This window comes from Homo sapiens, chromosome 5 (genome assembly GCF_000001405.40).
Source record: "Homo sapiens chromosome 5, GRCh38.p14 Primary Assembly".
Taxonomy (NCBI): Eukaryota; Metazoa; Chordata; class Mammalia; order Primates; family Hominidae; genus Homo; species Homo sapiens.
This window is the reverse complement of record NC_000005.10, coordinates 158396102-158409841: the sequence shown is the minus strand read 5'-3', so window position 1 is coordinate 158409841 and position 13740 is coordinate 158396102. Positions and strand designations below refer to the sequence as shown.

Below are 13740 nucleotides of genomic sequence, written 5' to 3'. Positions count from 1 at the left end.
ATGAGAGAAGTGTGATATTTACATAGAGTGTGGTCAGGAAAGTCCCCTCTGAAAAGGTGATATGTGATATTAGGCCATGTGAAAATGTGTGTGGGAAGTAGTCATATGTCCAGATCATGCAGGACCCTGAAGATAACAGAAAGGGCTCTTCATTCTGTTATTTTCAGTAAGATGGAAGAGAATTTGGGGGTTAAAGGTGAGGACTGGCATGGCCTAAAGTGTGTTTTAATAGGATCACTGTGACTTCTGTGCTAAAAGCAGACTGCAAGGGACAGAAGCTGAAGCAGGAGGTGAGTTAGAAGTTTCCTGCAATATCCAGGTGAGAGCTGATGATGGCTTTGCCTGGGCTGGCAGTGGAAGTGATGAGAGATGGGTGAATGAATATTTTGAGGATAGAATTAACAGAAATTGCTTATTGGTTAGAAGTGAGGTGTGAGAGGAAGAGAGGAGTCAAGGAAAATACCAAGGTTTCTGCCTGAGCAATTGGGAAAATTGGTAGTTAAAATAAGGAAGACTGAATGAGGATCTAGACTGCATGGAGGTAGAGATGAAGGGAGGGGTGGTGAATGTCAGGAGCTCAGTTTTGGCACACTGAGTTTGACATGCCTATTAGACTTCCAAGTGGAAATGTTAAGTATGCAATTGAATAAACAGGTCTTGAGTTCCAGGGAGAGGTATCAAACTGGGGATACAAATTTGAGTGTATTTAAAACCTTTATACAACCTAGGGAGTGTATATAAAGAGAAAAAAAAGGTGTATATAAAGAAAAAAAGGACTGAACTAAAGAATGGCCCCAAAATTTAGAAGTCAGAGAATCAGAAAGACTCTGCAAAAGAGATTGAGAAGGAGTGGTCTGAAAGAGAAAAAGAAAACCTGGCACATACGATGCCCTGGGATTCAAGAGAAGAAATTCTCTCAAGGAAGAGAAATTTATCAACCACATCAAAAGCTATTGCTTGTGCAAATAAGGACTGAGAAATAAATTAAAAGCTAATTAAAGTAAAAAAAAAGAGGTAGAAGTATGTAGCTAAAAAGTGAATAGAGAAGATTAAATAGAATGTCTAAAAACAAACAAAAAAAAACCCCAAAAAACTGGTTTACTACAAAATAAAGTGGGAAAAAAGAGAAAAAGGCCAAAGAAGATATAGGACTTTCTTAAATAAAATATAGGACATATTTAAAACCCAAGCATATTAATAATTATATTAAATATAAACTGCTAAGTACTGCAATTAAAAGGCAGAGACAGTCGGGCGCGGTGGCTCACACCTGTAATACCAGCACTTTGGGAGGCCGAGGCAGGCAGATCACGAGGTCAGGAGATCGAGACCATCCTGGCTTACATGGTGAAACCCCGTATCCACTAAAAATACAAAAAATTAGCCAGGCGCGGTGGCAGGCGCCTGTAGTCCCAGCTACTCAGGAGGCTGAGGCAGGAGAATGGCGTGAACCTGGGAGGCAGAGTTTGCAGTGAGCCGAGATTGTGCCACTGCACTCCAGCCTGGGCGATACAGCAAGACTCAGTCTCAAAAAAAAAAAAAAAAAAAAAAAAAAAAAAAAAAAAAGGCAGAGCTTGCTAGACTAATTAAAAGTAGCAAAATTCATACATATGGTGTCTACAAGAAAAAAACATTTTAAATATAATGACATAGGTTACAAGTAAAAGGATGAAAAAGGTATACCATAAAAATACTATTATATAAGAAAACTGGAGTGAGTATATTCACATCAGATAAAGTAGACTTCAGAACAAAGAGCATTGCCAGAGGAAAAAAAAAAGGATATTTCATAATGATAAGGTTAACTTGTTAAGATAATGTTATAACCACAATGCAAAACCATATGTTCCCACTGGAATGGTTAAAATTTAAAAGACTGACAGCATCAAATACTTTTAAGAATGTAAAACAACTAGTATTCTCATACATTGCCAATAGGAGTGTAAAATGGTATAGCCAGTTTAGAAATCAGTCTACTAGTTTTTCATAGTTAAATTTACATCTACTTATGACCCAGCAATTTATTCATATGTATAGAGCCAAGAGAAATGAAAACATATGCTTTTAAAAGATGTGGATAAGAATGTTTATAGCAGCTTTGCTCAAAATAGCACCAACTTGAGACAACCCAAATTTCCAGACAGGAGAATGGAAAAAAATATGATATAATTATAAAATAGAGTACTACTCAGCAATTCAAAGGAATGAATCACTGTTACGCATAGCAACATGAATGACTCTCCAAGCTATTTTTTTTTAGCAAAAGAATTCAGATACCACAAAAAAATGCGGTTTTTGCAATTACTTTTAATTTAAACTTTTAAACCATAATTATGAAGTCCTGGGACAAGCAAAGCTAATCTACAATGATAACTCAGAAGAGTATGTACTTCTGGAGTGGTAGGTTGGTGGCAGGGATGAAGCATAAGGCTGCTTTCTGGGATGATGGAAGTGTTCTTTAGCTCTATAAGGGCATGGTTACTTCGCTACAGTTCATCTCACTGTATGATTATTATAACTCAACAAAATTGTTTATATAAAAGGAAAAAGTTTAGAAATAAAATATTTTAAAAGTAAAAAGATAGAGATCTATGATACTTGCCACTTATGCACAAAAAAGCCAAAAAATATCTATATTTCTATTGATACTATGCATATGTGTAGAATTAAGAGCAGCATTTTTACATTAAAAGAATCTGACTCAGTAGCTGTTCCTGTCTGACTCAGCACTAATCATAACCAACAATAGCATTTTCTCACTTACATTTCACAACACTCTTTATGTAGTGGTTTGTTTTACTTACTCCATTTCACACATGAAACAACTGAATACTAGAGAGTAAAATGACTTGACCACGGTGATATTATTGTTGAGCAGTAGAGTTAGAACTTGACTGCATGTTTCATTACTCCAGAGTTGGTGCCTTTAAGCACCACATTGTACTTCTTTTCTAGAGGGGACACAGGCACTTTCTAAGGGGTCTCCTGAGTCTCTGCAAGATCTCAGACAATCTCACCATGTATTCTCTCTGTCTCCAATCATGCTGCCTTCTGGGGCTTCCAGATTCTATCTTACCCCCTTGTACCTGGTTCTAAGCTTCCTACCTAACTCCTTTAGACCAATGCTTCATTTAGAGTCACTGCTTGGCTTTTGTCTTTGGTTTTATGCCTATGTACTATCTTTTGTCTTTGGTTTTATGCCTACGTACTGTACTACTCACTAAAACAAAACTTGAATGTGTTGGATCTTAGGAAAACCAGTCCTTATTAATCAGAGTTTTAAAAGTCTGACTTGCAGATTCTGATAATTCAACTACTTTGTGTTCTCCAAAATTCAAAATTTCTAAAGGCTAAGGCTAGATCTGGCAAGAAAGCAAGAGAAATAAGTAATAGGTTAGAATGTAAAACAAACAACCTTTCAGCAAGCTATGCCTTTTAACCCTGGGAAATACTCTGGTGCCTTAGAGAACACAGGTCAATGTATCGCTCTTCCACTTTATTAAATTATTAGTATTAAAAAATAACTCTGAGCAAGCAACAAAACACAGCACAGTGCTTTCTACAAGTAAAATTTAATTTGCTATCTCAAGAGCTGCTGGCTTTTATCGCCATAGATTGGAGCATGGTATTTTCAGGGATAAAGTTTTTTTTCTTCTTTTTATCTAGTTTGGAGGAAACATGGCCAACATTAGTTCCAAATATTTTATTTCAAACATAAAGCACAGAACCAATACTAATAAACAACAGGCTCTTATGCCAACACTGGTGCATGTTTTTGTTATTGCATTATATTCCATGAAAGTTATTGTGCATAATTACATAGAAAAAAACCATTGAACTTGGAATTATAAAACCATCACCACAAACCAATGATTCCACTTGATGTGTATTAAGTCATTAAATTTATTATTAAAAAAAGAAGGAGAGAAAAAAATATTTTCCTTGTAAATCATTAAAAATGCATGAGAGTTGAAAGCAAAGCAAACAGCCCATACGTTTGCTTAGGGAACTACTGCTGAAGAAGGCACTGCAATTCAGAACAGAAAATAAGGTTTTGTTGAAATCAAAATGCCCTGTTATCCAAATGACTACCACGTGGGCTGTTGGGTAGAAAAGACTTATAAATTCCAAGAACATAAATGTTGGTCCTGGCATCCTGTAATAAACAACATGCTTGGAGGGTGGCTGTGGTCTAAAGGAGCCTCATGATTGAACAATTCAAAGGATGGGCTGCCATGGGATCTGTGAATGGCAAGAAGATCCAGAAAAACACACGCTGAGTTAGGACCTGTCTTCTGGACAAGGGTCAAGATGCACCACCTTCACACCAATAGCAGAAACAATGGCTTTACAGCCAGTTATTTAGGTATCAGTCTATTCATTCTGGAGGATCACCAAATTCATGTCACAATTCAGTCTACGTCAGCACTGCATATCTGCTCTGAAAAGCTTTTGTTTAATATGCTATAACCATGAGACATTAATGAAATGGGCAGAAGTAGAGAGAAAGGGACCAGGTGGTACATATGTCAATCAGCATTCTTTCCATTGCTAGGAAGATGTTAATTCAAACTGGCTCAGGTAGAAGCGTATCTTTACTGAAAGGAAAGTCTAAGACAGTCCAAGACTGGTGTATTAGTCCCTTTTCATACTGCTATGAAGAAATACTTGAGACTGGGTAATTTATAAAGAAAAAGAGGTTTAATGGAATCACAGTTCCACATGGCTGGGGGTGCCTCACAATCATGGTGGGGAGCAAAGGAGGAACAAAGGCATGTCTTACATGGCAGCAGGCAAGAAAGCGTGTGCAAGGGAACTGCCCTTTATAAAACAATCAGATCTCATGAGACTTATTCACTTTCACAAGAACAGCATGGGGAAACCCACCCCCATGATTCAATTACCTCCCACCAGGTCCCTCCCACAACATGTGGGGATAATGGGAGCTAAAATTCAAGATGAGATTTGAGTGGGGACACAGCCAAACCATATCATTGCACCCTTGGCCCCTCCCAAATTTCATGTCCTCACATGTTAAAACCAATCACATCTTCGTAACAATCCCGTAAAGTCTTAACTCATTTCAGCATTAACTCAAAGGTCCAGAGTCCAAAGTCTTCTCTGAGACAAGGCAAGTCCCTTGTGCCTATGAGCCTGTAAAATCAAAAGCAAGTTATTTCCTGGATACAACGAGGATACAGGCATTGGGTAAATACATCCATTCCAAATGAGAGAAACTGGTCAAAACAAAGGTGCTACAGGCTCCATGCAATTCCAAAATCCAGCAGGGCAGTCAAATCTTAAAGCTCTGTAATGATCTCCTTTGACTCCATGTCTCACATCCAGGTCACTCTGATGCAAGAAGTGAGTTCCCATGGTCTAGGGCATCTCTGGCCCTGTGGGTTTGCAGTGTATGGCCTTCCTCCTGGCTTCTTTCATGGGTTGGCATTGAGTCTCTTTGGCTTTTCCAGGTGCAAGCTGTTGGCGGATCTACCATTCTGAGGTCTGTAGGATGGTGGCCCTCTTCTCACAGCTCCACTAGGGAGTGCCCCAGTGGGGACCCTTTGTGGGAGCTCCAACCTCACATTTCCCTTCCATACTGCCCTAGTAGAGGTTCCCCATGAGAGCTCTGCCCCTGCCTCACACCTCTCTCTGGACACCTAAGCATTTCCATACATCCTCTGAAATCTAGGCAGAGGTTCCCAAACCTCAGTTATTGACTTCTGTGCACCCACAGGCCCAACACTACACGTAAGCTGTCAAGGCTTGGGGCTTGCACCCTCTGAAGCAATGGCCTGAGCTTCACATTGCCCCCTTTTAGCCATGGCTGGAGCTGAAGCAGCTGGGACACAGGTTACCATATCCTGAGGCTACATAGAGGAACGGAGCCCAGGGCTAGGCTCACAAAACCATTTTTCCCCCTAGTCCTCTGGGCCTGTAATGGGAGGGGCGCCATGAAGACCTCTGACATGCCCTGGAGACATTTTCCCCATTGTCATTGTCTTGGTGATTAACATTTATTTCCTTGTAACTTTTGTGAATTTCCTCAGCTGGCTTGAATTTCTACTTGGAAAATGTTGTGGTTTTTTTTTTTCTATCACACTGTCAGGCTGCAAATTTTCCAAACTTTTACATTCTTCCTTTTTAAACATAAGTTCCAATTCCAAACCATATATTTGTTAATGAATAAAACTGAATGCTTTCAAGAGCACCCAAGTTACATCTGGAACACTTTGCTGCTTAGAAATTTCTTCTGCCAGATACCCTAAATCATCTCTCTCAAGTTCAAAGTTCCACAGATCTCTAGGGCAGGGGAAAAATGCTGCCAGTCTCCTTGCTAAAGCATAGCAAGAACTACCTTTGCTCCAGTTCCCAGTAAGTTCCTCCTCTCCATCTGAGACCACCTCAGCCTGGACTTTATTGTCCATATCACTATTAGCATTTTTGTCAAAGCCATTCAACAAGTCTCTAGTAAGTTCAAAACTTTCCCACATTTTTCTATCTTCTTCTGGGCACTGCAAATTGTTCCAACCTCTGCCTGTTACCCAGTTCCAAAGTTGCTTCCACATTTTCAGGTATCTTAATAGTAGTACCCCACTCTACAGGTACCAATTTACTGTGTTAGTCTATCTTCATACTGCTATGAAGAAATACTTGAGACTGGATAATTTATAAAGAAAAAGAGGTTTAATGGACTCATAGTTCCACATGACTGGAGAGGCCTTATAATCATGGTAGAAGGCAAAGGAGGAGGAAAGGCACGTCTTACATGGTAGCAGGCAGGAGAGCATGTGCAGGGGAATTGCCCTTTCTAAAACCATCAGATCTCATGAGACTTATTCACTATCATGAGAACAGCATGGGAAACCCCCCACCACATGATTCAATTACCTACCACTAGGTCCCTCCCATGACACTTGGGGATTATGAGAGCTACAATTCAAGTGAGATTTGGGTGGGGACACAGCAAAACCATATCAACTGGAGACCAAGTTCAGTTAGGCCACTTAGAAAACTCTATTGGAAGATGGGGCAGGGAGTCTCCCCTCCTTTTCTGCTTCACACAGAGTCACATGTAGGCCTTTTAGAAGAAGGGGCTATATGTGAATAGAGTACATTTCTATTAGTCATCTATTTTTCTAGGCTCACTGGACGTATGGTTTCTTAATCCATGCCAGTTCTTTCTGATTGACTGATGGCTTTGCTGCTCCTTTCTAATTTAGGTTATGTGTAGCATTGGTTTGTCATGGCCCAACACTGGCCCTAACTTTACAACTTTATCTCCCATCTAATTGACTTTGCCTTTCCCCTTTGTTTTTTGTTTGTTTGTTTTTTGGAACAAGTTGTCCTGGTTTGGATCAAGGATTTATTCCTGGCCCAATCAGTAATGGCCAGAAGAATTGGTCAACTTCCCAATCACCAGGGATCAGGATGAAAACAGATTCTCTGAGAAAGGGATGAGGACATGGCAAGCAAATTGACTGGAATATCCACAATCATGTCAGGCTCTATGAACAGCCCTAAAATTATCAGAAATTGAACTTGCAGAAAATATATCCTATCCCAGGTTTGAAGACATATATTACTTAAATAATTACTATAGTTCTTCAATTCTAAAACGAATATATTTTTCACATTTTAACATTTTTCAAATTGAGACATAAGACTGCAATCAACCTGTACATTTAACACAGTGTTTTCCCCCTCCACATAATAGCTGCTATTAAATTGATGATGCATCTTAAGTTAAAGTTTCTCTAAAAATTAAGGAAACATGGAAAGTGTAATTCCACTGGCTCACAGTTTTGTCAAAAGTGAGAAATTAAATCTTTTTATATAAAATTACTGTTAAGCACTATCTTCCTAATTGTTCTGTTTTTGTCTCACTTTCGTGGGGAAGATGACAATTTCATCATTTCCTCAGGTAATTCCCCAATCTCATTGTGTTACTCTGTCCTCTGGTATCATGCCTAAATCATGTCTCCCTGGATTAACTCATTATTCCAATTAAAGTCCTTGATATATGTCAAAGACATGCCCTTATCTGTGACAAAGCCATAAAAATGTGTTGCTTTAATTCCCTCTGTAAATCAGTTTTTCTACTCCATTCCCTTAATTATGTGCCAGTTTTCTCTGGAATCACTCCAATGTCTAGGATTTTTTTTCCTTAACCCAGAATGTTTCCAAAATATAAGTGTGGGAAACCAATATGGTCTGACAAACCTGCTCTTCCTCTTTAGTGATACCCTTTACACCCAGTTCCAGTGACTCCTTTCTCTTTGTCAAATGATTCAAAAAAGAATGAAACTATCTCTAGATTCATCCCGCATGCTTATTTGTAGGGGCATTTGTTCATCATAAAGACTATCCAATTTGATTTATTTTTCTATAGATAGCTAATTTTTCACTTTTTATCCTCCTATGGAATCTCTTATTATTATTTTTAACTCCGGAGTTATTTATTTAGTCTGGTAGTTAACACCAGGTGCTGTGGACTGGCATCATCAAGGAGTGGAATGGTATAACAGGAAGACTATCCTACCCCAATAGAGGTTTTTGTTTTTTTGTTTTGAGACAGGGTCTTGGTCTGTCATCCAGGCTGGAGTGCAGTAGTGCAATCTCATCTCAGTGTAACCTCTACCTCCTAGGCACAAGCAATTCTCCTGACTCAGCCTCCAGAGTAGCTGGGATTATAGGTGCACACCATCAAGCCTGGCTAATTTTTTTTTTTTTAAGAGATGGGGTTTCATCGTGTTGGCCAGGCTGGTCTCAAATTCCTGGCCTCAAGTGATCCACCCACCTCGGCCTCCCAAAGTGCTGGGATTACAGGCATTAGCCACCACGCCCTACCCCATATCCCAGTAGAGTTTTAGTTCAGGTTGTGATACTGACACACTATTTGGCTTTAAAGAAGGATTTAATGTCTCTGGGCCTAGCAAGCGGTTAGGAAGACAGAACTGGGTGATTCCTAAGACTTCTTCAGTTCTAACATTCCACAGTATCATTTCTTAATGGTCTGGTTAATATCTTTTCTGAGTTCTCATAGGCTCAAAATCAAACGAAGTCCTGGACCAACACCTGTAATATCTCGCCAAGCCTGCATTCATTACCCATATTCTGCATCTGTCAGGAGGTGACCATCCAGGCTCTTTCAAAGTCCATACCAAATGTACATGTGTGTTCATGCACACACATGCATGCACACACACTTAGCTTTGAAAGTGAGCATTTATGAAATCCAGTCCCACAGAAGTTCAGCTCTGTATCTTTTTTCCTGCTGGATATGCAAGAAAAAAGAAATGGTGTCCTTGTCCTTCACTCTGATAAGAAGGTGGCACACTGCCTTCCCCTCTGATAATCTAAATAAGGAACTATTTATCTGGAATGATTTATGCTATTTTCTAATATTCTGATTATAAAAACAGGTGAATATACCACAAACTTACCTTAATAGACTGTGGCCCGCCCTTTGCAATCTTTTTTGTGTATTTTTGGTTTAGGACATCCCTCCTTCATGCCCAGTCCCCTTGATAGGAACCAGCCATGCCTGGACTGAATAATCGCCATTATATGACTTCTCCCTAGTTTTGCAGTTTAGAATTCCATTCTTTTGGCTTCTGGGTTCATCTTAGATCACAATTTTGCTTGCTAAATTAAGAAGTAACTACCCAAAATCACACAGGCATGTATCAACACCTTTAATCTCCTAGGAGGCATATTGTCCTGACCTGCTGATTCATATAGTATGTGTTATGCTCAAATTACTGAAGAATTCCCTTACCAGCCTTTTGTCAATAGTTATTTTTGCAAGGTCTTCATTACTTCCTAATTGACTAAATTCATTTTCTTCATTTCTTTCATTAAAGACAGGCTTAGAAGTGACATCAATTTTGTAGCTTTTCTAATGGCTTTCTTCTTTCAGGCTTGTCCTCATTTCGAAACAGGTCTGTATTCTACCCTTAGCTTATATCATCTATCTATCTATCTATCTATCTATCTATCTATCTATCTACCTACCTACCTACCTACCTACCTACCTAGCTACCATCTAGCCATCTATCTATCATCTGTATTTTTGGATTTAATTGAGATTTTGAAAAGTCGCCAGTAACCGGATGTCTAGCTTTATAAACTTAGGTATGAATAACATTCCCCCTAGTAAGATTTCCCCCTTGCCTTAGTTCAATATGCATGGAACTACATGGCTGGACTAGGAGGAACCTGGCCTCTTTATTTCCTGACCATCATTTTCCCCTGATCTGGGCTTCTAAGATCAAGTCATCCTTGGTCTTTTTTACCTAGTGGATCCAAAAGTTTGATGTGCCTTCCCGAGGCTAGAAAATGCCCTACTACTATAAAAAGTTCATTGCCCCAGAATGAACTACATCTCACTGGGCTCTGCGTGCTGCATTCCTTGCCAATGCAAGTTCCTACTGAAGATTCAACAGGTCTTTCTTCAATGGCTACATTCAATTTGTTTCATGGCAAAAGTGCCCTGAATGCCCAAATTATAGTTGGGGTGTGTGTGTTTGTGTATGTGAGTTTTAATTCACTGAAAAAGTTGCTTCCCAAGGTTTAGTGTTGCACCTAGAAGATCTGAATCTGTGCATGTTCTGGGTTCTTCTGTTCCCTGGGCCCAGAAAAACCATTCCCTTTACCATTTTAATGGAGGGTTGAAGTCCTAGATCTGTGTCTTTCCAAATTATATAAATAACCCTCAGTCATTCGTTTTAGGAGCCTTGAAACCTCCCTTCACCAATGAGTCAGTAAAAGGCACCCTGGCCACTTTACTAGATGGAGACAGCCTAGAATTATAGAGAAAAGGAGGGGCTCCATCATGACTCTCTTAGAAGATCTTCAGGCTCCAAGGCAAATGTTCTTCCCCCTCCGTTGGGCTTGCTTAGCAATCGTTTTTTCTGGTCAGATACCTCACTGTACACTCTAAATATTCTTAAACATTAAAGCATTTTGCTAGTGGCTTCTTTTAGCATTTCCTTCTGAGACGCTATCCACACCTGGCTGACAATTTTAACCGTCTGTGTGGCTGGCCAACTTGGCTCAACAAACCACAGTAAGGGTGTGGGTGTTTTTCATTGAAGAAACTGCTTTTGCTGTTTTTACTGGCTTGACCAGTCAAGCGAATTAAAAGAAGTTGCATGTGCTTTTAAAAAATTAAACCATTTTTGGCACCTTGATCAGTGTTTTGTTGAAATCTAACTGATTTTTACTTGAGTTTGACACAAGTTGAGGTTTAAAATTGCTTTCATCTATAGACCTCCCCTTTCTATGAATAACCCACAGAGCCAGTCAACCCAGTATGAACATTCAGCTTGTCAGTTTTGCCATCTGCTACTTGGGCATAAAATCTAATGGTCCCCATTCATTGCTTAAGATCAAGATCTTTGAATATGGTAAGACCTAGAGGGGGTCTTTAGCCTGGTTTTGCCCTGCACTAGCTACATGACCTTGGGCAAATTACTTCCCTTTCTTTGTGCTTCAACCATCAAATGTGAAATGGGTTATTACTTTCTCTGTGATAAGTGCTCTTGAGGGTACAAAGATTATCAAAATAAGATCCCATGATCAATTAATTTATATTCTAAATGGAAGAAGAAGACAAAGACACAAATAGGTACATTGAGCAGTGAGTTCATGAGACATCTACGAAGGGCCATGGGGGAATTAAAGAAGGAGAGATTACTTCTCTGGGGAAGAGGGTTATCAGGAGGCCTCCTTGAAGAAGGTGATATTTAATGAAGAGTTTGATTCAACAGGCAGCAGTAAAAATAAGAAGAAATCAGCAATAGCAATAGCAATAGCAGCTAACACTTTTAGAATGTCTCCTGCAAGCCAGAGCCTATGCTGAGCAGGTGACTTGTACAATGTCACTCAACCCTTCCCACAGCCCCATGACTTAGGTATCATTAGCATATTTTATTTACAAGGCGGAGAGAGGTTCAATAACTTGCTGAAGAACATGCATCTTGTAAGGTTGTGCCTAGATTTCAATACAGAGCTTGTGTTCCTAACCACTGGGGATGTACTGCTTCCAGCTAGTTGGAAAGGGGGTGACAATAGAACCAGTAGGAAGAGTTTATACACACGCAAAAGAGGGCTGCAACAGTGTTCAAGGACAACTGGGTACTTATGTTTGGCTGCAGGAATGCATGAGAGAGCGGCAGGAGTAGGAGGTAAGGATGAGAACATAAGCTGAGGTCCCCATAGGGAGAGATGGCCTTTAGGAGCCCTGCAATCAGAGTAAGCCACACAGTCAGAGATTTGCTTCAGGAAGACGGATTTGGAAAGGAAGGTCACTAAGGCTGAACTGAACGGACTATGGACTGGTTGGGTTCAGGGGAAAGGAAGGTTGCTAAGGCTGAACTGAACGGACTTTGGACTGGTTGGATTCAGGGAGATGAAGGTGAGGCATGATTGCCAAGTTTCCATCAGGAGACAATGTGGAGGAAAGCATGTTGATAATTAGCGAGTGCCAATCAGATGTAAGATTTCTCTTTTCACTCATGCTCAAGTTGTGTAAGAATAGGGGTTCGCCATGCTTTTCTGTCACTAAAGAATATTCAGATTCCCCCAGAAAATCTCCCTCATGGAACAGGGTGGCAGCAGGGACACCTTCCAATGTCCTTTCTAAAATCATACGTCCATGCAATTTCCTAAGCCACAAGCACAACACACATAATGATAACTGAGTTCTTCATCCCTTCACATCCCTGTCAAGAAGAGGGTTAGAGGTAAAACAGAAAGGTACAGGGCTAGGGGCCAGTTTCAAACACATCCTAGTCACTTTCAATTTACATTATTTTGGACCAAGTCACTGATCTCTGTGCACCAAATTATCTCGTTAAATCCTCTTAACCACTCCAGGAGGCATAATGAATCCCATTTTGCAGGTGCAATAAACTGAAGCTCAAAAAAATTAAGGAAGGGCTGGGGTATGAACTCACATCTGCCATGCTCAAAAGACTGGGGGTTATCAGATCACTAAAGTCTTTAAAAATGTAACATTAATTTATTTGTAGTACTGACAGTCTCTATTTTAAGTACTCTAAAGTATGTGTAGCTCCTCAAGTGACCTTCCAATACTTCTTAATCTTATAACGCAGAAGTTTCTAGAACAATTTTTCCAAGCATCTTAGGTTTTGCTGAAAGAGTATCTTGCATAATTCCAACCCTGGCAAAACTCTCTTAATGATGTTATTTTACACCATAGGCATTGTGGTTGGCCTGAGTCAGCCATTTTTTTTTTAATTTTTTTCTCCCCCTACCCCCTTCTTTTCCAGTCAATATTTATTTTAAATGCAAGAAGTCAACCTCCTTTTTAGCTGATGAGGCTGGTTGTTCACACACCTTTCGGGTGTATAACTGACAAGTGTCCACTTTGGTGTGGGGCTGATTCTAAACAATCCCCTGAAATGTTCCAAGGAGAAAATGCAGGGGAAACCAGGAATTTGCTGAGCAACGGATGTGCTGATAGTTACAGCCAAAGTGGTTCCTAAATGTTGTTCTGAAAAGCCTGATGATTAGAAAAGGTTAGATTGGCAGCCTTCAAGCATTTCCACTCTAGCCCCCTGTGTCTTCTTTACTAATTCTTTCATGGATGAGAGGAATCTGCCCACCTGTGGCAGCAAAAACCCCTCTTCCAGATGCAACTCTTCATCCAGCCCCAATCTCACAGCTCCTTTTCCCTCCTAGTGCACTCAGTAACCCTCTCTTTGTGGACAA

At 39.9% G+C, this 13740-nt stretch overlaps 1 long non-coding RNA gene across 1 annotated transcript in view; it reads left to right on the top strand.

Moving 5' to 3' along the window:
* The first annotated feature begins 68 nt into the window (after positions 1–68).
* Positions 69–13740, top strand: part of LINC02227 (long intergenic non-protein coding RNA 2227) — an 89091-nt gene continuing 75419 nt past the window's right edge. The window contains exon 1 of the long non-coding RNA NR_109888.1: positions 69–196. This is a non-coding gene — a long non-coding RNA (long intergenic non-protein coding RNA 2227). The remainder of the gene's footprint in view (positions 197–13740) is intronic.